General features: G+C 41.8%; 1 protein-coding gene and 2 non-coding genes across 3 annotated transcripts in view, besides 1 other annotated feature; all 3 read right to left on the reverse strand.

Moving 5' to 3' along the window:
• EIF3A (eukaryotic translation initiation factor 3 subunit A) overlaps positions 1-24,856 on the reverse strand; it is a 47,148-nt gene that overhangs the window by 9,428 nt on the left and 12,864 nt on the right. Inside the window, exons 7-18 of the mRNA NM_003750.4 lie at positions 22,302-22,473; positions 18,127-18,231; positions 17,649-17,747; positions 16,505-16,621; positions 16,115-16,300; positions 14,859-15,206; positions 13,839-13,943; positions 13,643-13,756; positions 8,102-8,224; positions 7,424-7,577; positions 6,704-6,888; positions 957-1,045 (exon numbers count right to left, since the gene is read on the reverse strand). Of these exons, the coding sequence (NP_003741.1) occupies positions 957-1,045; positions 6,704-6,888; positions 7,424-7,577; positions 8,102-8,224; positions 13,643-13,756; positions 13,839-13,943; positions 14,859-15,206; positions 16,115-16,300; positions 16,505-16,621; positions 17,649-17,747; positions 18,127-18,231; positions 22,302-22,473 (1,797 nt within the window). The remainder of the gene's footprint in view (positions 1-956; positions 1,046-6,703; positions 6,889-7,423; positions 7,578-8,101; positions 8,225-13,642; positions 13,757-13,838; positions 13,944-14,858; positions 15,207-16,114; positions 16,301-16,504; positions 16,622-17,648; positions 17,748-18,126; positions 18,232-22,301; positions 22,474-24,856) is intronic.
• SNORA19 (small nucleolar RNA, H/ACA box 19) lies at positions 16,914-17,041 on the reverse strand. Its single transcript, NR_002917.1, has one exon. It is a non-coding gene; the product is annotated as a small nucleolar RNA, H/ACA box 19 (small nucleolar RNA).
• LOC124900296 (small nucleolar RNA SNORA19) lies at positions 17,886-18,014 on the reverse strand. Its single transcript, XR_007062404.1, has one exon. It is a non-coding gene; the product is annotated as a small nucleolar RNA SNORA19 (small nucleolar RNA).
• Positions 23,508-24,009: an enhancer, noted in NCBI's record as "H3K4me1 hESC enhancer chr10:120826117-120826618 (GRCh37/hg19 assembly coordinates)". NCBI's record gives its function as "activates a minimal SCP1, AML or CMV promoter by ChIP-STARR-seq in primed H9 embryonic stem cells {active_cell/tissue: H9 hESC(primed)}" and the evidence as "EXISTENCE:reporter gene assay evidence [ECO:0000049][PMID:30033119]".

The following is a 24,856-nucleotide window of genomic DNA, read 5'->3' on the forward strand; positions in this document are numbered from 1 at the left end:
ACATGTCAAAACCCCATCACTATAAAGAATATAAAAATTCACCAGGCGTAGTGGCCCACACCTGTAATCCCAGCACTTTGGGAGGCCGAGGCAGGCAGATTTCTTGAGGTCAGGAGTTCAAGACCAGCCTGGCCAACATAGTGAAACCTCGGGTCTACTAAAAATGCAAAAATTAGCCAGGCGTGGTGGTGCATGTCTGTAATCCTACTTGGGAGGATTACAAGTGCCTCCCAGCTACTTGGGAGGCACAAGAATTGCTTCAACCCAGGAGGCGGAGGCTGCAGTGAGCCGAGAACGCGCCACTGCACTCCAGCCTGGGTGACAGAGCTAGATTCTGTCTCAAAAACAAAGAAACAAACAAACAAAATTAACCAGGCATGGTGGAGCGCACCTGTGGTCCCAGCTACTCAGGAGGCTGAGGCAGGAGGATCACCTAAGCCCAGGGAGGTTGAGGCTGTAGTGAGCCGAGATCGCGCCACTGCACTCCAGAGTGAGACGCCATCTCAAAACAACAACAACAACAACAAAAACAACAACACAGGCCAAGTGCAGTGGCTCATGCCTGTCATCCCAGCAATTTGAGAGGCTGAGACAGTCAGATCGCTTGAGGTCAAGAGGTCAAAGCCAGCTTGGGCAACATGGCAAAACCCCATCTCTACTAAAAATACAAAAAGTAGCCAGGTGTGGTGGCACACACCTGTAATCCCAGCTATTCGAGAGGCTGAGGCACTTGAACCCAGGAGGCAGAGGTTGCAGGGAGCCGAGATAGCGCCACTGCACCCCAGCCTGGGCAGCAGACCCAAAAAAACAAAATACAAACCCACACGCAATCAGACATGCACACAATTCTTCATGGCTCTCCTTTCCCTGCCTCTACAAAATGAACCAAATTTTAAAACCACTGATAAGATATTAACAGGAACTGGAGCGGCATTATTTTCCTCAACTCTACTTACTTCTCTGGCGGGCCTCTTCTCCACTCAGAATCTGCTTCAGGTCCTTTTCTCCAGGTGCCTTCTGAATCTCTATCTCCCCAACGAGAGTCCTCCATTGACAAAGTGAAAAAGAAGCATTACATTGGTAACCATTTACTATTACAACTACTGGTATTACCATTCAAATATTTTTTGTACTTATAACAATATGAAGCCCTTAAATAAGCAAGTTTTAAAATTTCATTTATTTTTTAATCTGAGATCAGACTGACGCTACAGGGAAACTGGTAGTCTCATATATTGTAGGTGGCCTTACAAACCGATATAACACTGTGCTGGAAAGCAACCTGGGAACATACACCTCTACAGATTTCCTTCAACCTAGAAATCCCCTTTGAAGAATGTGAAAAAAGCCACATGCCCTGAAATGGACATCACAGTGCCTACGAAGCAAAGAAAGGTGGAGACATTTTATTTAATGTCTAATGGGGGTGGTTAAATTAACAGTACTTCTCTATTCAAAGTACTCTGATGGGCCGGGCGCGGTGGCTCACGCCTGTAATCCCAGCAGTTTGGAAGGCCGAGGCAGGTGGATCACGAGGTCAGGAGATCAAGACCATCCTGGCTAACACGGTGAAACCCTGTCTCTACTAAAAATACAAAAAATTAGCCAGGCGTGGTGGCAGGCGCCTGTAGTCCCAGCTACTTGGGAGGCTGAGGCAGGAGAATCGCTTGAACCCAGAAGGCAAAACTTGCAGTTACCCAACATCACACTACTGCACTCCAGCCTGCACCAGAGCGCAAGCCTCTGTCTCAAAAAAATAAAAATAAAAGAATCTACAAAGCTAAGAATAAGCTACAGTCTCAAACAATGCGTGAATAAGAGAACCTTTATTTGAATTTTCTTTTCTTTTTTTTTTTTTTTTTTTTGAGGTGGAATCTCACTCTGTTACCCAGGATGGAGTGCAGTGGTACGATCTCAGCTAACTGCAGCCTCTGCCACCCACATTCAAGCTATTCTTGAGCCTTAGCCTCCCAGGTAGCTAGGACTACAAGCGCCTGCCTCCATGCCCGACTAATTTTTATATTTTTAGTAGAGATGGGATTTCAACATGTTGGCCATGCTGGTCTCGAACTCCTGACCTCAACTGATCCACCTGCCTAGGCTTCCCAAAGTTCTGAGATTATAGGTGTGAGCCACCACGCCTGCCCCTTTATTTGAATTTTTGAAAAAAATGTCTTGGCAATGAAACTCTAAAATAACAACTAGAGATGAGAAGCAGTGAAAGACAAGAATGGTCAGAAAATAAATTCGTCCCGGGTCATCACAGCTAATGATTCTGGGCTGTCTCTTAAGGTGGGGGTTGTTCTAAGAGACTTTCCCAAGTAAACACCTTGAGAGAAAATAGAAACATAACAGTCAAAGGAATTTATGGGCAACACAATTGAGGGAACAAATACAGCCAGAAGGCCAAGCTTCTCCCACCCCCATGCCTGCTTTGCAATTTATACTCAACAAAGAATGCAAGGTTTTAGAGGATATAGTACAACTATTACAACCTCCAAAGACTTTTGAAGGATGGCTCTTATAGCCATTAAACAAACAAAAAGAAGTAACTCTGCCTCCTGGGCTCAAGCCATACTCCCTCCCACCTCAGTTTCCCAAGTAGCTGGGCATGCACCACCACGCCCAGCTCATTTTTGTATTTTTTGTGGAGACAGGGTCTCACTATGTTGCCAGACTGGTCTCAAGCTCCCAGGCTCAAGCGATCCGCTTGCCTGCCTCGGTCTCCCAAAGTGCTGAGATTATAGGCGTGAACCAATGTGCCCGGCCCAGCAGATCCAAGAGCAGAATGGCCCTGGCTGATGAGCAAACAAACTGAACCACGATCTCAGAGAACCTGGTACAAACAAACAAAGAGATGAAGAGAGTAAAAGAAACATTAAAGATATAAAGAGAACTTTAACAGAGCAAGAACAGAGAAAAAGGAGAAAAGTTTCCTTAAATTAAGTAGATTTTTGTCTGCTCTAAGGAGACTGAATCCTTAGACCAAAAGGGCAAAAGGCCAAAAAGAAACAAAGATACCATACACTCAGGTATCTAAACACAGTCTTAGGGACAGTTTTAACTTCCTTTACCGCAAGAATAGAGAAAAATTCTGTTTCCGAGGAATGAAACAGTATCTACAGAGTAAGACCAAAATCCTCCCCTCTGTAACACTGTGTACTAAAAACAGAAGCAAAGGTCTCTATTATTTCTGAAAAGATGATTTTGAACTGGCCAAATAATGAACCATTTATTGTTCAACGGTGAGAGAAAAAACTTATGAGACACACAAAGACATTCTGAAAACTACTGATCAAGAAACAAAAAGTACTCACAAAGGGGAAAACATGATGCAGTGTAAACATACTTGAGACTAAATAATGTTCGCTAATATGGATGGAAAACTTAAAGTAACTGTTAAGTGAGTACTAAGAGGAAAGATAATGTGTAAATATCTAGAAGCAAAAATACCCAGTCCACTGCAATAAAATATAAGTTAAGGTATGGTCATGATTTTGTTTTGTTCTGAAGAGGCAAAGGAAAGTTGTAATTTATACTGTGGAAGTTTTTTTAAAAACTTAGGAAAAAATTAATGGTGGCCAGGCACAGTGGCTCATGCCTGTAATCTCAGCACTTTGGGAGGTTGAGGTGGGTGGATCACCTGAGGTCAGGAGTTCAAGACCAGCCTGGCCAACATGGTTAAATTCATCTCTACTAAAAATACAAAATTAGCCGGGCATGGTGGCACATGCCTGTAATCCCACCTACTTGGGAGGCTGAGGCAGGAGAATCACTTGAACCTGGAAGGTGGAGGCTGCAGTGGGCCGAGATCTCGCCATTGCACTCCAGCCCGGGCAAAAAGGGCAAAAAAATTAATGGAATAGAGAAAATAAAAGTGAACCTAAAGGCCAGGCATAGTGGCTCACGCCTGTAATCCCAGCACTGTGAGAGGCTGAGGTGAGTGGACCACGAGGTCAGGAGTTCAAGACCAGCCAGGCCAACATAGTGAAAAATCCCATCTCTACTAAAAATACAAACATTAGCCAGGCGTGGTGGCACACGCCAGTAATCCCAGCTACTCAGGAGGCTGAGGCAGGAGAATTGCTTGAAACTGGGAGGCGGAGGTTGCAGTGAGCTGAGATTGCACCACTGCACTCCAGCCTGGGCAACAGAGCGAGACTGTCTCCACACACACACACACACAAAAAGAACCTAGAAAAGTTCTTCAAATTTGGCTTAAAGAAAAAGGAAGGGGTGCCAGGGACATAGAAGCAAATAAAAAGCTCCAAAGCAAGTGTTAGGAATAAAACCAAATATACTAGTTACCATGTTAAATGCAAGTAAATTAAACTAAACTCTCCCAAAAAAAAGGGAAGGTGTGTGTGGGCAAGGGGGTGAGGCATAAAACAGAAACAAGAGGCTGAAAATGTACAAAAGGGTGGACAGACACATTTGCAAATGCTAACTAAAAGAAAAGGATAATCTCAGAAGGTAAGCTTCCTCATGTTCCTAAGGAGACAGTCCCATAAACTAACAAGATGTAGCAGATTTAAACAAAACAGCGCTGATTTCATGCACACACACAACTTTGTGCTCAACAGAAAAAAACATTCATAGAACACAAGGGAAAATGTATTCTTAAATTCCAAAAACTTGTAAATCATACAGACCACATTTACTTAATACCAAGGAATTAGAACTACAAATTAGCAGTAAGAATAACACAAACTGAAGACACATAAATAACTAGTATCAAGTGTAGGCATACAGATAAGCATTTGATACAGGTGTGGCAAAAATAGAGGAGCAGAGAAAAGGCATGCAAGATATCCTTGAGCTTTCTGAGTGAAAAGTAAGCAAGCAATACTTTAAGGGGCAAACAGGGCACCTCCCAAGCAAAAGGAAGAGCGTGCAGACAGATGCCACAGACACAGAATAAAGCAGAAAACTTGCTCCCCAATGGCTACAGCACAGGTGACTAAGAAGAAAATAGTGTCAGATGAAACTGATGAAACGGCAGCAACACGGAAGACTACTAACGCGTGTTTTAAAACCTTTGGCTCTCAGTAATGAGTACCAACCAATGAAAGGTCTGAAATCCAACAGCAGGCACAGTGATCAAACATGCTGTATTATGAAAAATCAAGCAGGCCACAACATAGAGGAAGGTCTGAAGCTGGAGGAAGATGATGATGAGGAAGACGAGTAAGTAGACCAACAAGTATTGCAAGCAAGAAAAATCTGAATTAAGGCAGTAATGTAGGAAAAGAAAGAAGGAAGAGTTGGTTCAAAGCTGTGACAAAGCAGATACCAGTAACACCAATCAGGAGAGGGAATTCCAGACACAAGACAGAGATGGGAACACAGGTCCGTTTTGAACCTGAGTGCAATTAAAAATCAGCATTTAGAGCTGAGTTTGAATCACCTAGGAATCCTGTTAAATTGCATATTTTGATTCAGAAGTTTTGGGGCTGGACCTCAAAGTCTGCGTTTCTAACAAGTTGACAGGTGCTGCTGACAGCTGCTGACCACCAAACATGTCTTTAAGTACCAAGGAGCTACAGAATTCATCATCCTCTAAATTCACGATTCTTTTTTTTTTTTTCCCCTGAGACAGAGTCTTGCTCTGTCACCCAGGCTTGAGTGCAGTGGCGCGATCTCAGCTCACTGCAACCTCCACCTCCTGGGTTCAAGCAATTCTCCTCCCTCAGCCTCTCAAGTAGCTGGGATTACAGGTGCTGCCACCGCACCCAGCTAATTTTTTTATTTTTAGTAGAGACAGGGTATCACCATGTTGGCCAGACTGGTCTAGAACTGACTTCGCGATCCGCACGCCTCGGCTTCCCAAAGTGCTGGGAATTATAGGCATGAGCCACCACGCCCGGCCAAACGATGATGTCTTTCATGGAACTCAGCAACAGTCTCTCTTCTGTAGCAAACTCAGCAGTGCTATGGACAAAACTTTCATGACACGCATGCGCAAAAGTATGCTTAAGCCTGTAAAATTCCATCTTTGCTAAGACAAGTATAATTCTTCCCCCCTTAGGTGCCTTCTGTTCTTTGGGAAAACTACCACATTAAAAAGAGCGGTGAAAATGGGCTGGGTGCGGTGGCTCGCGCCTGTAATCCCAGCACTTTGGGAGGCCAAGGCAAGCAGATTGTTTGAGGTCAGGAGTTCAAGACCAACCTGGCCAACATGGTGAAACCATATTTCTAATTTTAGTAGTAAATTTTGTATTTTCTACTAAAAATACAAAAATCAGCCAGGCATGGTGTTGGGCGCCTATAATTCCAACTACTTGGAAGACTGAAGCAAGAGAATGGCTTGAACCTGGGAGGCAGAGATTGCAGGAAGCCGAGACAGAGATCACACCACTGCACTCCAGCCTGGGCAATGAAGCGAGACTCTGTCTCAAAAAAAAAAAAAAAAGAGAAAGAGATGTGAAAATAACTGATTTAAATACATTTACATAGGTATCATGGAAGAGAACTGGGTGATAAAAATACATCACAATTACAAAAATCAGCCAGGCATGGTGGTATGCACCTGTAATCTCAGCTACTCAGGAGGCTGAGACACGAGAATCACTTGAACCCGGGGGCTGAGATTGCACCACTGTACTCCAGCCTGGGCAACCTGGGCGACAGAGCAAGACTGTGCCTCAACCAAAAAAAAAAAGTCACATTAAAACAAAATAAAATCAATAAACCCTATACTCACCTTTCTAGAAAGGGAACTATCGCCAAGTCTTCTCTCTTCCTCTCTACGCCGTTCTCGTTCTTCAATTTCCAACTCCCTTTGGCGTTTTTTCCTTTCCACTTCTTCTAATTTCTTCACCCGCTCCTGATACTCTCGTAGCTCTTCCTCGCGTTTTGCTCGTTCGGCGCGCTCTCTCTCTTCCCGCTCTAGACCATTGATTAGGTTACTAAGTGTGCCTCCCAGCCATATCTTCCCCCTAGTGCTAGTTCCACTTTTCTGGTATTAAACAGGTAGCATAATGTACAAGTAAAAGAATTTGAAAATAGTTTGTAATCAGCTACAGGACAGAACATAGTCAAGAAAATAAGTACTACACCCCTCAACTATAGTTTTGTAATAAGATACTAGAATCCCTCCCCCATCCCTGAGCAATCTGGGATTCCAGATATAGCATCATTTAACAGCCATCATCTGGAATGTATTCCTCAATAAATGTTAATACACAGAATACGGTGATTAAAAAAAGTATTAATTTCTAGAAGAACATCAAATGTGTGGGGAAATGCTGGCAGACGATGTAACAACTTCACATACAGCAAACTGGGTTCTGAGATCCAGTTAATTACAGTGCTAAAAGGCCAATTACCTTGATTCCTGTATTTTCTACATAAGATCACTAAAAACTAGATCTTAACACCAACCTTGCATTAGCACCCCTCCAATCCTGTTTGACCTGTGTACCTTTTAGCATTTGTTCTTCTGCCCTTCTCTGCTCCTCCTCTTCTTTTTCTCTATAGTATGTTATCCTGCGTTCTTCTTTACGCTGCCTTTTCCGTTCTTCCAATCGATTATGCCTTTCTTCTGCTAATCGCTCTTCAAACTGTTTAAGTTTTTCCTGCAATCGAAGTAACCCCCAACCCAAAAAGGGCACACTTTGTCAAGAGCAACAAACTCGCAGAAAGCTATTAGGTTTACAAAAGACTCTCAAGTGTATCAGAATCATCGAAAGCAACCTCTCAGCACAAAAACTCTAACTTCCAAATGACCATTAACTTGTCAGCAGGCCAAATTTTAAAACATTTAAATTGTTGATATTACCTACCTCCAGTGGGTTTGTCTTTATACAAAATAATTCAATGGTCAAATTAGAATCTAAGCCCAGGACATTTTGATCTAGTTTTTTCATTTCTAACAAAAACAGTAAACAAAACTTGTATTAAATTATGCATTCAACTTTCACCTTTAGAACAATTTTGATGATTGTTTTGCTTATGAAATATCATCCAAAAATTTCTATTATTTGAATGACCGTTACACATAGTAACTCAATAAAGAATATACCAATTTGTTAAGGGAGAACCCTTAGGCCAATACTAGAAAGCTCATGAATAAACATTTCCCAAAAATCAGCAAGCTCACCTCATAAACAGACTGCCGTGCAGCTTTGAGTCGCATTACGAATAAATCTCTGTCTTCAAGCATTCGTGACATTCGATTCTTATGTTCAAGAGCCTTTTCACGTTCTAGCTGCATTGTAGTAATCTGCAAGTACAAATATTGTGAAATTTCAATGCACTTTTTTTTTTACTCATTAACCCCAAATTACTGAGAAATACTCTTGAAAAATTAGAAGCTGCTCCACTGCCCCTTCTGTCATGCCATAAAAATGAAAACGTTAACTACATCCATGTCAATAGGTCCCCAGAAGGCAATTACGGGCAAGAGGTAGACAAAGTAATCCTGAGGCATTTAGGAGAGACAGTTTTCATTTAGCCCCATGATACCAGGAACTTTATAAAGGAAAAATTATGATACACGGACACACCTTGGAGGCACTGCAGGTTTGGTTCTAGACCACCACAATAAAGAATATTGCAATAAAGCAAGCAACGCAGATTTTTTGGTTATCCGATGCATATAGAAGTTTGCAGTCTATTAAGTATACAATAGCATGTCTAAAACACCAATGTACAAACCTTAATTTTAAAATACTGTAAGTCAGATGCAGTAGTACGCTGAGGCAAGAGAATCACTTGAGCCCAGGAGTGCAAGATCAGCCTGGACAACATGGTGAGACTCCTGTTCTCAAAGAAAACAAAACAAAAAATACTTTATTGCTAAAAAATGCTAATGATCACCTGAGCCTTCAATGAGTCATAATCTTTTTGCTAGTGGAGTCTTGCTTCAATGTTGACGACTGCTGAATGATCAGCATGGCAGATACTAAAGGATGGGGTGACTATGGTATAATTTCTTAAAATAGGTAACAATGAAGTTTGCCACACTGATTGCAACCTCTTACAAAAGATTCATCTAGCATGTGGCACTGGTTGACGGTTTTTAACTCAAGAGTAGAATTTCAATTTGATCCAATCCTCTCAAACCCTGCTGCTGCTTTATCAACTACACTTATGGAATATTCTAAATCCTTTGTTGTCAGGTCAACAATGTTCGTAGCATTTTCACCAGGAGATTTCAAGAAACCACTTACTTTGCTCATCCATAAGAAGCAACTCCTCACCCATCCAAGCTTTATCATGAGATTGCAGCAATTCAGTCACATCTTCAGGTTATAGTCTTTTTTGGTTTTGTGTGTGTGTGTGTGTGTGTGTGTGTGTGTTTTAAGACAGGGTCTGTCTCTGTCACCCAAGCACTGGAGTGCAATGGCACCATCTCAGCTCACTGCAACCTCTGCATCCTCCCACCTCAGTCAGCCTCCCAAGTAGCTGGAACTGCAGGCACACTCCACCATGCCTGGCTAATTTTCCTGTTTTTTTGTAGAGACAGGGTTTCACCATGTTGCCCAGGCTGGTCTCAAACTCCTGGACTCATGCAATCTGCCCACCTCAGCCTCCCAAAGAGCTGGGATTAGAGGTGTGAGCCACCCCACCCAGCCTATACATCTAACTCTACTTCTCTTGCTGTTTTCACCACATCTGCAATTATTTTCTCCACTCTACTCATGTACCCCTCCAAGTCATCCATGAGGCTTGGAATCAACTTCTTCCAAACTCTTTCTAATGCTGATATTTTGACCTCCTCCCACGAATCACAAATGGCATCTGGAATAAAGAATTCCTTCCAGCAGGTTTTCAACGTACTTTGCCCAGATCCACCAAAGGAATCACTATGGCAGCTACAGGTTTATGAAATATATTTCTTAAATAATAAGACTTGAAAGACAAAATTATTCCTAGATCTACGGGCTGCAGAATGCATACTGTGTTAACAGGCATGAAAACAAACATTAATCTCTCTTATACATCACTGTCAGAGCTGTCATACGATCAGATGCATTGTCAATGAGCAGCAATATTCTGAAAACTTTTTTTTTTGAGCAGTAGGTCTCAACAGGGGGCTTAAAATATTCAGCAAACCATGCTATTAACAGATATGCTGTCATTCAGGCTTTGTTCTTTCATGTACAGACCACAGAAAGGGTAGATGCAGCATAATTCTTAAGGACCCTAGGATTTTTGGAATGACGAGAATTGGCTTCAACTTCCAGTTAGCAGCTGCATTAACCCCTAAACAGTGAGCATACCCTTTGATGCTCTCAAGCTAGGCACTGACTTCCCTCTAGGTATGAAAGACCTAGCTGGCCATCTTCTTCCAACAGAAGGTCGTTTCATCTACACTGAAAATCTATTGGCTGGGCACCATGGCTCACCCCTGTAATCCCAACACTTTGTGAGGCTGAAGCAGGCAGACTGCTTGACTTCAGGAGTTTGAGACCAGCCTGGGAAGCCTGGGGAGAGCCTGTCTCCACTAAAAATACAAAAAAAAAAAAAAAAAAAAAGCTAGGCATGGTGGTGCATGCCTGTGGTCGCAGCTACTCAGGAGGCTGAAGTGGGCACTTGAGCCCAGGGGGTAGATACTGTAGGGAGCTGAGATCACGCCACTGCACTCCAGCCTGGGTGATAGAGTGAGACCCTGTCTCTCAAAAAAGTAAGAAAGTCTGTTGTTTAAGTGTAGCCACCTTCATCAACTATCTCAGCCAAATCTTCTGAATAACTTGCTGTAGCTCCTCCATCAGCACTTGCTGCTTCACATCGTACTGTTATGTCATAAAGACGGTTTTCCTTAAACCTTATGAACCAACCTCTGCTAGCTTCATACTTTTCTTCTGCAGCTTCCTTTATTGATTGATTGATTGATTGAGACAGAGTCTCCCATGGTTGCCCAGGGTGGAGTGCAGTGGCGCAATCTCAGCTCACTGCAACCTCTGCCTCCCAGGTTCATGCAATTCTCCTGCCTCAGCCTCCTGAGTATCTGGGATTACAGGCATCTGCCACCACGCCCAGCTAATTTTTGTAATTTTAGTAGAGACGGGTTCTTGCCATGTTGGCCAGGCTGGTCTCAAACTCCTGACCTCAAGTGATCTGCCCTCCTCGGCCTCCCAAAGTGCTTATATTACAGACGTGAGCCACCAGGCCTGGCCTTCTGCGGCTTTCTAACCTCTCTCAGCTATTTGTATTATTAACTGTTGAGAGTTATAGCCTTGCTCTCGATCAGGCTTTGGCTAAAGGGAATGTTGTGGCTGGTTTGATCCAGACCAATGAAACTTTTTCCATATCAGCAATAAGGCTGTTTCACTTTCTCACTGTTTATGTGTTCACTGGAGTAGCATTTTTAATTTCAAGAACTCTTCCGGGCCAGGCACGGTGGCTCATGCCTGTAATCCCAGCACTTTGGGAGGCCGAGATGAGCAGATCACCTGAGGCCAGGAGTTTGAGACCAGCCTGACCAACATAGAGAAACCCCGTCTCTAATTAAAAAAAAAAAAAAAAAGTACAAAATTAGCTGGGTGTGGTGGCACATGCCTGTAATCTCAGCTACTCGGGAGGCTGAGGCACGAGAATCACTTGAACTGGGAGGCGGAGGCTGCAGTGGGCTGAGATTGCGCCATTGCACTCCAGCTTGGGCAACAACGGCGAAACTCCATCTCAAAAAAAAAAAAAAAGCTTTTCCTTTGCATTCACAACTTGATTAGTGCAAGAGGCCTAGCTTTCAACATGCCTTCCTCACTAAGCTTAATCATTTCTAGCATTTGATTTAAAGTGAGACAGGTGACTCTTCTATTCAGTTGAACACTTAAAAGCCATTGTGGAATTGTTAATTAGCCTAATTTCAATATTACCTCTCAGGAGCTGGGCACAGTGGCTCACGCCTATAATCCCAGCACTTTGGGAGGCTGAGGCGAACAGAACACTTGAGGTCAGGAGTTCAAGACCAGCCCAGCCAACACGGTGACCTCATCTCCACTAAAAACACAAAAACTAGCCGGGCATGGTGGCAGGCGCCTGTAATCCCAGCTACTTGGGAGGCTGCGGCCAGAGAATCACTTGAACCCGGCGGGGGCAGAGGTTGCAGTGTGCCGAGATTGCGCCACTGCACTCCAGCCTGGGCGACAGAATGAAACTCTGTCTCAAATAAATATATACATATTAGTGTCTCAGGGAATAATAGGAAGGGTCAAGGACAGGGAGAGACAGAGAGTAAGGGAATGGCCAGTCGGTAGAACAGTCAGAAGAGACTTAATTTACAGATTAAGTTCACCGCCTTCTATGAGTGTGGTTCGTGGCACCCCAAAATAATTACAACAGTAACATCAAAGATCACTGATCACTACAACAAATATAATGAAAAAGTATTAAATACTTTGAGAATTACCAAAATGTGACAGAGACATGAAATGAGCACATGCTGCTGGAAAAATGGTGTCAACAGACTTGCTCAATGCAAGGTTACCACAAACTTTTAATATGTAAAAGAAGAAATAAGAATAAAAATAATAATAATATGGGGGGCTGGGGGAGGTGTGATTCACACCCATAATCCCAGCACTTTGGGAGGCCCAGCCAGGAGAATCGTTTGAGCCCAGGACTTTGAGACCTGCCTGGGTAACACAAAAGCACAATAAAGTGAAGCACAATAAAACAAGGTGTGCCTATATATAATAAAATAAAATAATAAATATGACATGGTAACAACAAACACCATGGTTTAATTTTTAAAGGCATTTTCATCCTTAAAAACACCTGGAAATCAATGCAAGATGATATATGGCTATTTCTTTTCTACCCTACATGAAAAACTGAAGGCTCCAAATCAACCCAATTTGGTCTGCAGCACTTTTCTAATTAGTTTTTAATTATTTACATGTTAAGAGAATTATCACAAAAATTCCAACTTTTCCAGAAAAAAAAATGGGAAGGGCTGGCAATCCTAGGCCCATTAATCTCCAAGGGACAACAATCAGATTAAACCAAGAAAAGGCTGCATTCTCCTATCACACCCTACACCGATGTTTGCCTCCTGCTTATGGTTACTTTTTTAAAGTAGATCTGCTTACTCACTTTTATTACATATTTGGTGCCGTAAGCATTTGTAAACCATGCTTTTGTATCATTAGGTAAATATAAAATATACTATAAGTTAACAAAACTATGGAATGACCTGTTTAGTCACGAAAGACAACACAGTACACAATTCCATTTATATAAAATGTCCAGAATCAGCAAATCTAGAGAAAGGAGTAGTTTAGCGGTTGCCTAGGGCTGGGGTGGTGGGGAAGAATAGGGATGACTACTGCTAATGGGTTTAGAACTTCTTTTTGAGACGTGTTTTAAAATTAGATTGTGGAGATGGCTGCACAATTCTGCAAGTAAAATGAAAACTATGAGATGTATAAACATGCCATACAATTTACCCATTTAAAGTGTATATAAAGCAGTTTTTTATAAAATGGGCTTTTCAGTTGTCCTTTGTTTTCCAAGTTTCGTTTGTAATCTCTATTGTGAAATTTTCCCTCTTTCTACCAATCTGTTCATAGGCAGCCATTAGAGCACCATTTCTAGCAGAAGAATACAAAATAAAGCAATTCTGAATCCTTGGTTCCATTACTGGCAGAGGATTTTATTACAATCTAAAAATATTACAATTAAATAAAAAACTTACTCTTTCTTCCTCTTGTTGCTCCCACAGATCCATGTCTTTAATTCTCTGTTCCTCGTAAGCGCTCTTTATCAAAGGAATTTCTTCCAAACGTTTGGCTCTTTCAAAATAGTCAATCTGAATGACACGAAAACACACGTAGTTTTAAAAAATCTCTCTTAACTTGGTATGTTAAAGGTTTACCAACCCTTTCATTTACCTTCTTTTCTTGATTCTTTAGGCGTTCTTGAAGTTCTTTCTTTTCTTTCTCCAGTTGTTCAACCTGTTTAGCCATGATAAAATCTGGATCCAATTCCTCAAGGTCCTGAAAGGTAATACAAATGCACAATTGTTAATAAAGAGAAACAAGCAATGCCTAACATAACTCACTGCTTTCTAGAATAAAATCCTACATTGCTTTTATTGTTACAATGGGTGATAATTTAGGAAATGTAAAAATATTATACAATAGCCTTATTTCCATTTGACCATAAGGAAAAAAATATCCATACATCCTTTTCTCACTACTCCAACCTACATCTACCCAGACTCTACTAAATAGGGTAAGCAAACCTAATCCAAAAACCCAAAATCTGAAATGCTCCCAATTTTAAAACTTTCTGAGCACCAACATGGTGCCACAAGTGTAAAATTCCACACCTGACCCATGTGACAGGTCAGTCAAAATGCATTCAAAACTTTGTTTCATGCACAAAATTATGTAAAATAGTGTACAAAATTACCTTCAGGCTATGTGTATAAGGTGTCTATGAAACAGGTCATGTGTGGTGGCTCACACCTATAACCCCAGCAATTTGGGAGGCTGAGGCAAGTAGATCACTTGAGGTCAGGAGTTCAAGACCAGCCTGGCCAACATGGTGAAACCCTGTCTCTACTAAAAATACAAAAATTAGCCAGGTATGGTGGCAGGCGCCTGTAATCCCAGCTAGTTGGGAGGCTGAGGCAGGAGAATCACTTGAACCCGGGAGGCGGAGGTTGCAGTGAGCTGAGATCACGTCACTGCACTCCAGCCTGGGCGACAAGATAATACTCCGTCTCAAAAAAAACACAAAACTTCACAGAGCAATAAACATATGCTTACTCACAGATTTAGTCATGACCAGCTGTACCAAAATGCATGAAATAACCCAGTAAGCCAACAAATGGTAAAGGACTGTGGTTCTAAGAGTACAAAATACCTGGATAAAACTAATTTTTTAATAACTAAGATGCTACGTACTTCAATATCAATATCTTTGAATGCTTTGGCACCCAGTTCTGTTTTCTTGATCTGCTCCAAACGCTCTCGGACAGTTTTCTTTTTGATTTGTTCATGTTCCTGTAAGATACGCTCCTTCTCTCTCTCCTTTGCTTCCTGGCGCAGCCTCTCTTCCTCAGCCTTCCGCACTTTCTGGAGTTCAGCTTCCCTCTGTTCCAATTCTTCTTTCTCACGCTGAATATTCAGACTCTCAAGGCGCTCTTTTCTCTCCTCAATTGTCTGGCGGCGAGCCAGGATCCGCTGGTGCTCTTTTCGTGAATTTTTAAGGTATGCAGTGACAGCCAACTGATGCTGTTCTTCTTTCTCTTGCTTCAAAAACAAATGAATTTTTTTACATGACCAAAATTAACATTCTCTGGTATTAGGCATCAAAGAAATTACAAAATAATCCTGATGTACTGCCTTTCTATGTATCTGCATTTGATAATGGAAGATGACACTATCCAAGCTGTTTGTTTTCGGTATTAAATGCTATGGTGTTGCTCCTATTCAGTCTTTTAATAGCAATGACGCAGCTAAAGAAGCTCTCCTAGATAAGACAACTTTTCTCTGCACCAAACCTACCTTAGGTGTTCATTAACAGAGCTCACATACAAGAAATAACTTGTTACAGGCAGTGGCTCATGCGTGTAACCCCATCACTTTTGGGAGGCCAAGGCGGGTGGATCACTTGAGGCCAGGACTTTGAGACCAGCATGGCCAACATGGTGAAACCCCATCTCTACTAAAAATACAAAACATTAGCTGTGCACGTGGTACGTGCCTGTAGTCCCAGCTACACAGGAGGCTGAGGCACAAGAATTGCTTGAACCCAGGAGGTAGAGATTGCAATGAGCCGAGATGGCATCACTGCACTCCAGCCTGGGTGAGAGTGAGACTCCATCTCAAAAAAGAAAAAAAAGAAATAACTTAAGCAGGAGGGAAAAATCCAGTCACTGTATTTCACTATTTGAGGAATCCTATGTCCACTCTGTTGTTTCTGTAACATAATCCACCCTATTACATTACCTACACAGAGTAGTATTTTGTTCAATGGAAGAAAGCTCAATGATTTGTGTATTTGATCAAATAACAAAACTACCAAGTACAATTCTATAGGAAACATATCATAAATCCCTTCTCTCAGATATTGTCTCAAACCTTTTTGTAAAAGACATGGCATGGCGTTAAGAGTCCCTCAAAACTTCTGGGATTTATTTCCCCGGGAAGATGCATACCAGTATATGAGCTGGTTTAATGACTTCAAGTGCTTTTGCAAGTACTGAGGACATGGCTGTCAGCTGGTTTCTTATCTGCTCTGAAGGCATGCTTTGCAAATGAGGACCAATCGGAGCATCTTCTCGAGTAGCATAATTCAAATCAGATCCAAAACTCAGGGTCCGAGAAGTGTGATCAATACGAACCTTTGAAAATTAAATTATCAATGGTTAAATCCACAAGTAAGCATGAAGTCAAAAAGTAACAGAAGAATGTCATATACAAAAGCTGGAAAAGTTCACTCAGTAAACTTTAAAATGGTATCACTGTACCAAAAGCTGAGAAACAGAAGGTATGTGTCTTTCTAGCCCTCAAGGGCCTTCTCCTGTCTCCTTACAGCACATACCTACCTGCAAGTCGCAATGCCTGGCTGCATCTACTATGGCCCGTTCCAGTTGGAAAGCATCAACAAAAGGAACCAAAGAAGTCAAACGAGAAAACTCAATGCTCTGATAAATCTGTGACACCTGCATAGAAAACAAAGGGTTAATAACACTAGCCACTGTTTATTCAGCACTTTTTATGTGCAATCTCATGACAGTCATGGGAAGTAGAAATTATGCCAGAGAATTTATGTTAGCAGTACATTGTTAAAGCCAGAATGCTAATCCCAGACCATCGACTCTAAACTCCATGCTTTGAGAACCATTATCATACTATTCCTCAAACCTATAATCTTTTCAAATCCTAGTTGTTGTAAAACAAAAAAGCCTAAAAACCTGCTACTTACCGAATATATTTAAACACTTCTTATAGAATTTTTGTCTGAAGGAGACTGGCAGCATTACTATTTATAGTTATACTGCTAATTAGCCTTCAATTATTTGTATAGCACATAAGAAATAACACTACTCACATAAAAGAAAGCAGGTCAATGAAATGTGCACAAATACTGAGATGAAAATATAATAAAACGCCCTCCTTCCCAAATGCAACAAATGGAAAACAAAATGGGAGCACTTACTGACTTAAGCCCCTGGACTAAAATATATGAAAAGGCTGTCTCATTCACTCATGGTGGGGGGTCTATTAATCCAGGCTTCTGAATAGCTATTAAAGCTTTAAATCCATAAACCCTATGACTAATTCCACTTCTTATGCCACAGAAAGTAATAGAAGTATGCAAAGATACATGTATGAAAGATGCTCAATGCTACAAGATTTCTAACAGGGAAAAAAAAAATCTAGGAATACAGGTTTTCATCAAGAGAGTCTGAATAAATACACCACAGTACCTTAAATGGAATAAGGTAGCCCTACATTACTAACAAGGAAAAATGCCCAAAGACAGTGTTCAGCCAAAAAACAAAAGCGTCCGTTACAAAATATGTAAATATAATAATTCTGATTTTCAAATTAATAAATAGACTAATTTTTGCCAGGGGCAGAACTTGGGGAGGTTCTCACTTCCTAGGCAGTTCTAGATTTTTCCAGTTTTTAGTTTCATGATGAGCACATAACATCACAAAACTTTTTTTATTTTTTTATTTTTACCTGCTGCAGAAGGCGGAGGATGGTGTTGTTTTGCAGTTGTGGCACATACTGCTGCAATTCCGGTTCCTTTTCAGGTTGTTCCCTAACCCAATTTAGAACCTATAAAATCCATTAAATTGAAAGAGAATCACACTTTCTACATAAGAGATACTAAAACATCTAAAACTCTTTTTTTTTTAATATACAAAAACATCATCCAATGCAAAGAAATACAAAATGTATCATGAAGCTACTGATACTTGTTTGAAGGTGACTGGCAGCAATGGCTAAATTAGTCATGCTGCTAATTAACCTCCAAAGGTTTGCTGAGCACATCAGATATATCTTTTCTCTTGAAATAAAGAAAAAAGACAATGAAATGTGCACTGAATTCCAACACATAGGACAAAACTTCTCTCTTAACAAATATGAATACAACCCAAAACTGCAAGAAGGCCAACTCTGTGGTAACAACCAGAACTTAAATACAAAGGCTTACCTTTGTGACTCGCTCACAGAGTTTTAATGGGTTAAATTCTACTTCAAGCCAATTGTAAAGGTCTTTCACTTCTGGGACAACATATTGTAGTACATTAAATCTGACCTACAGTAAGCAAAACAAAAGATGTAACTGCCAAAGGAAATTTTCCAACTAAAATTCTGAACTTAGTATAAATGATAGCATTGGAAATCTGGAAAATGATTTAAAAAATCATCAAGCCTCAACCTCCTCTAAATTTACCAAAAATGAATCCAAAGTACAACTATGCTGGGTCTTTTGCCCCACACTATGCACATTAACCTACCGTGAAAAGCCCCACAAGTATGTAAAAAGGAAATGAAACTCTAAAAAACACAACTACAACCAATTAAATATTCACAAAGACAACTACTGTGGCCAATAGAATATTTTATTACCAATAACAAGGAAAATACCAGTTTTACTTTTATATAAATTATCACACAAAAATTATCATGGCAGCACTATTTCTAATAGCCCCAAACTGGGGAGAATTCACATATGGTGTATTCATAAAATAAACAAAAATGCTCAAAAAAGAACAGCTACATAGAACACATGAATAAATCTCACAAACATAGCGGTGAGAAAAGAATTTCACATATTACCCCATTTATATGGACTTCAATTTTACCATGGAATATGTCATTTTTTTTAGGAACTGTTAACCCAAGGACAAAATAACTGCTGGGATAGAGCAAAGCACAGAAGTGTGTACCCATAGAGAGTGGGTGACAAAACTGAGGCAAATATTGGCAGATCGCATCCCCAAGCAAGGAGGGCACCCACACATGGGAGCACTCAGGTCTAAGGTTAACTCTAATGTAAAATGGGTACAAGGCTGAAATCCTACAACATTCTAACACTTCCTCCTTATAAGCATCCATATATCTTTACTGCAATAAGGTGTGGTATATGCATACAAATAAAATTCCCTAACTTAGAATCTGCCTTTAAGAGAAAAAAAAAAATTCCCAGCTCTAATTTCATTCCTATCAAGTTATTTTAGATTCTTCATGCAGTCCCCTTCCGAATAGGGAAATGTGAAAGGCTGCCATAATCTACTAAATTATATTTCTCACTAAAATACATGATTGGTTTACTTTCCGATTTAAAAGTCACTCTTAGGAATGTTTGAGTCTTTTCCTGAGATAATGGAATCACTCTGTCTCATAAATTTGGTTATGGAAGCCTAACGCTCAGGTATTGACCTTGGATATATGGTCAACTCAAGAAGTTGACAAATGCCTCTTGGCAGTCAGCTAATCCATTCACTTGACACTAACTGGTATCCTTCTAGAAGTCTACACTCTGTGGGCACAATGAGGACTCTAATCTAGATGCCCTAGTTGTTGGTCCAATGCTACCCATCAGTGATCACCGAATGACTTGCTCACAGAGTTTTAGTGGCTCAAATTCTACTTCCAGCCAATTGTAAATGTCTTTCGCTTCTGGGACAACATATTGCAGTATATTAAATCTAAGTCTAAGAGATCACCTTTTTTTTTTTTTTTTTTTTTTGAGATGGAGTCTTGCTCTGTCACCCAGGCTAGAGTGCAGTGGCACGATATCAGCTCACTGCAACCTATGCCTCCCGGGTTCAAGCGATTCTCCTGCCTCAGCCTCCCGATTAGCTGGGATTACACGCATGCACCACAATGCCCAGCTAATTTTTTTTTTTTTGTATTTTTAGTAGAGACGGGGTTTCACCACGATGGCCAAGCTCGTTTCAAACTCCTGACCTGAAGTGATCCACCCGCCTTGGCCTCCCAAAGTGCTAGGATTAGACGTGAGCCACCGCGCCTAGCCAAGATCACCTTTAACAAGGTGACGTGGATTATCCTTCCAGTGTGGCACGTTTCTTCAGCTTTAAAAATTAGAAGCAAATTTTTTATTAGCAAATGTTTTATTTGCTAATGAAACTTCTTTCTCAAGACACTGCTGTTGCTTTATTACATTGAGTCCTACATCGGCCCCATAAACAGAAAGTTGAACTCTGTGGGCAGTGGCAGCAGAAAAAAACATGGAGGAATACAAAGTAGAAAAAAAGCTGCTCTGCAGGAACTCTTTGCAAAAGTTAGCTACAAAGTGAATCTGCATTACTATGTCACAAAGGAAAAATGCCACTATCTAGAAAAGTTATTTGTTCTTAAATTGACTACTGCAGAAAATTTAGGCCTTTTATCTAGCTTTTATCAGAGTGAATATAGGTGTTTCCTCAGAATACATTTCAAAAATATCTGAGAGAGCCTGCCATTATCTTTTTGATTTCTTTATTGCTCTATTCATGAATTAGGGACTGTTAATGATTTAAATTCCGTTTTTGGTAAACATACAGCCAAGTACTTATCCCTCTTTCTCTTACCCCAAAGTAATCTACTGGAGGTGATTCTAATAACCAAGTCAGACTATTATGATAAGAATCCCTAGAATCTCAGCTCCCCTAGAATACAACTTCTGCCTTCAGTTTCACTTGCTAGGCACATAACAGGCACTCAACAAATTTCCACTGAATGGAAGATTCCATCAATGCGAAACACTAAAAAGATACACAAATCTGGCCGGCACGGTGGCACACCTGTAATCCCAGCACTTAGGGAAGCCGAGGGGGATCGTTCACTTGAGGCCAGGAGTTCACGACCAGCCTAGCCAACGTGGCAAAATCCCGTCTCCACTAAAACTACAAAAAACCACTGTAGTGGTGCGTGCCTGTAATTCCAGCTACTTGGGAGGCTGAGGTAGGAGAATCACTTGAACCTGGGAGGTGGGGGTTACAGTGAACTGAAATCGCACCACTGCACTCCAGCCTGAGCAACAGAGCTAGACCCTGTCTCAAAAAACAACAACAACACGTCTTAGGCTCCACACTCTAAAACTTTTGTATTATATCTGCTGGGTAAAACCTAGAAATCTGCATTTTAAAAAGTATTTCACATACAATTTCACTGAATAACCCTAATTAAGTCCATACTATTTAGTAACATCAAATGAAAGTTTAAAAGAGAAAAAAGTTGAAAATATTTTAGTTCTTCAGACATTGAACATCAGACACTGAAGGTAAGTCTACCTTACCTTCTCCCCTAGTGATGTGGTTTGGATCTGTGTACCCACCCAAATCTCATGTTCAACTGTAATCTCCAGTGTTGGAGTGTGGCCTGGTGGGAGGTGACTAAATCATGGGGGCAATTTCTAATGATTTAGCACCATCCCCGTAGGCCCATCCTCATGATAAGAGTTCTCCCAAGATCTGGTGTTGTTTAAAAGTGTGTGGTACCTTCCCCCTCTGTCTTCCTCCTGCTCCAGCCGTATAAGCCATACCTGCTTCCCGTTCCCCTTCCACCATGATGGTAATTTTCCTGAGGTCTCCCCAGATGCAGAAGCCACTATACTTCCTATACAGCCTGTGGAACCATGAGCCAATTAAACCTCTTTTCTTTATAAATTACCCAGTGTCAGGTACTTCTTTTTTGTTTGTTTGTTTGAAAAGGAGTCTCACTCTGTCGCCCAGGCTGGAGTGCAGCGGCACGATCTCAGCTCACTGCAACCTCCGCCTCCCGGGTTCCAGCGATTCTCCTGACTCAGCCTCCTGCGTAGCTGGGATTACAGGTGTGTGCCACTATGCCCAGCTAATTTTTTGTTATTTTTAGGAGAGACCGGGTTTCGCCATGTTTGCCAGGCTGGTCTTGAATTCCTGACCTCAGGTGATCCACCTACCTCAGCCTCCCAAAGTGCTGGGATTACAGACGTGAGCCACCACACCCATCCTCGGGTATATATAGCAGTGCGAGAACATACTAATACACCTAGCCTCTTCATATTTACCACACACAGCTTAATTAGTTTTCCTAGAGCCTCCATGAAATAAGCCATGACTCTTCTTGCCCATCATTACTTCTTCTCTTACTAACTGGCCCACGGTATTCCCCAGAGCCAACCCAAGTCCTGCTAGATCAAAACTCCCACCAATTTAACCCCTGCTCACCCACTGGCGCGGAACTGCCTCAAGTGAACAGTGATTGACACCAGTGCTTCCCTGTCCATACATCAGAACCCTTGGCACTGAATCAGAATTCCCAGTATTTAATCATGAGTTATTAAACCTGACCACAAAGTTTTCTGCCCAAAGCTACAAAAATCCTCAAATTAATACTAACCATATCATTAATAAGGCCAATTCGTGTCGGTGGGGCTTGAAGACCTAGTAGTGTTGCAAGGCGACGCTGTTTTTCAACTATAATGCCATCCATATCCAGAAGTCGAGCAATATCCGTACGCTCAGGAGTAATAGGGATGGAAAGAGTGGCTAAAAGGACTCTAGTAGACATTCTATGGAGAACAAAGTTTTAAATCTGTTAGGTTTGTAAATGATACTTGGTAAGCAGAAAAGCACTTCTCTTTAATCTTACGGTAAGGCGTGCTAGTGACAGAACGTGTACATCACCATGGTGCACTATACTCATAAATATTATTCCATCAAAGCATGGGAGTAAGAGAAATGGGCTGTGTTTAAACGAATACTTGGAGAATCAGGACTTCATCTATCCACTCAGTACTGTCAGTGTTTTCTAGCTTCAGAAAAAGATTGTGATTGACCAGGCGCGGTGGCTCACGCCTGTAATCCCAGCACTTTGGGAGGCCAAGGGGGGCACATCACGACGTCAAGAGATCGAGACCATCCTGGCTAACACGGTGAAACCCCATCTCTACTAAAAATACAAAAAATTAGCCAGGCGTAGTGGTGGGCGCCTGTAGTCCCAGCTACTCAGGAGGCTGAGGCAGGAGAATCGCATGAACCCGGGAGGCGGAGCTTGCAGTGAGCCAAGATCGCGCCACTGCACTCCAGCCTGGGCGACAGAGCCAGACTCTGTCTCAAAAAAGAAAAAAAAAGAAAGAAAAAGATTGTGATTAAATGACAGAAAACACACATTCATATACCCCAGACTTCCTTACAAAATTAAGGCAGGTTTAAAAACTAAGGAAATGGCTAGGCGCAGTGGCTCACGCCTGTAATCCCAGCACTTTGGGAGGCCGAAGCAGACGGATCACCTGAGGTCACGAGTTCCAGACCAGCCTGGACAACATGGTGAAACCCCATCTCTACTAAAAATGCAAAAATTAGCCAGACATGGTGACAGGCGCCTGTAATCCCAGCTACTCAGGAAGCTGAGGCAGGAGAATCAGTTGAACCCAGGAGGCGGAGGGTGCAGTGAGCCAAGATTATGCCACTGGACTCCAGCCTGGGGGGCAGAGTTAAGACTGTCAAAAAAAAAAAAAAAAAAAAAAAAAAAAAAAAAACCTAAGGAAGTAAGTGGCAATAAGGCAGAAAAAAATTTTAAGAATCAGAAGTGAACACTATTATGGTAGTGAGGGAGAGGGGGAGACAAGAACCAGGAGCTAAATTTTCACATCCCTGAAAGACAAGAAGTCAGGCTGCATTCAGAGCATGGCAGGACCCCAAAGACTGCGAGCCCTGGAGCTGAAGGGCTAGCATCTCCCCTTCGCCATTTCCAAGACTGTGACCGTAGGCAAGATACTTAATTTTCTGAGTCATAAGGCTACTGCAAAGATTAAACCAAATAATGTACTAAGAGCTAGACAGCCTAATGCTCACTATTATTGTAGTACTCTCTGAAGGCAAGCTTATGTGTCTGGAAGAACATGTTTTTCCTTAAAACAAACAGATGTGGACCAGGCGCAGTGGCTCATGCCTGTAATCCCAACACTTTGGGAGGCCGAGGCAGGTGGATCACCTGAGGTCAGGAGTTCAAGACCAGCCTGGCTAACATGGTGAAACCCCGTTTCTACTAAAAATACAAAAAAAATTAGCCAGGCGTGGTGGCGCACGCCTGTAATCCCAGCTACTTGGGAGGCTGAGGCAGGAGAAGCGCTCGAACCCGGGAGGCAGAGGTTGCAGCGAGCCAAGACTGCGCCATTGCACTCCAGCTTGGGCAACAAGAGCAAAATTCTGTCTCAAAAAAAAAAAAAGGATGTGAATTACATAAGTGACAGTGGATGCCATAACGGACACCATCCTCAAGAGTTTCTAAGAAAATATGCTAGTGGCCAAGCACAGTGGCTCATGCCTATAAATCCCAACACACTCGGAGCCTGAGGCAGGTAGATCACTTGAGACCAGAAGCTTTGAGACCAGCCTGGGCAACATAACGAGACCCTGCCTCCACAAAAAAAATTAAACATTAGCTGGACGTGGTCGCGCTCGCCTGTAGTCTCTGCTACTCAGAAGGCTGAGGTGGAAGAATAGTCTGAGCCCAGGAGTTCAAGGATGCATGCAGTGAGCTACAACACACTACTACACTCCATCTGGAGCAAGGAAGCAAGACCCTATGAGAAAGGAAAGAAAGACCGTATCAGAAAGCAAAGACATAGAGAACAAAGAAGAGAAAGAAAGAAAATATACTAGTGGGACTCATTTAATTGGTCCCATGAATTGCTCTAAAATAGTTTTACATAAGAAAGACAATTTGCTTTACATAATTCTACTGGATAACAAAATAATTGGTGGACCAATACAAGAAAACAGGTGGTATGTGTGTTGCCTAAGTCCAATAGCATTTTTTTTTTTTGAGATGGAGTCTTGCTCTATCGTCCAGGCTGGAGTGCAGTGGCACAATCTCAGCTCACCACAAGCTACGCCTCCCAGGTTCAAGCCATTCTCCGGCCTCAGCCTCCCGAGTAGCTGGGATTACAG

This window comes from Homo sapiens, chromosome 10 (assembly GCF_000001405.40).
Source record: "Homo sapiens chromosome 10, GRCh38.p14 Primary Assembly".
Taxonomy (NCBI): Eukaryota; Metazoa; Chordata; class Mammalia; order Primates; family Hominidae; genus Homo; species Homo sapiens.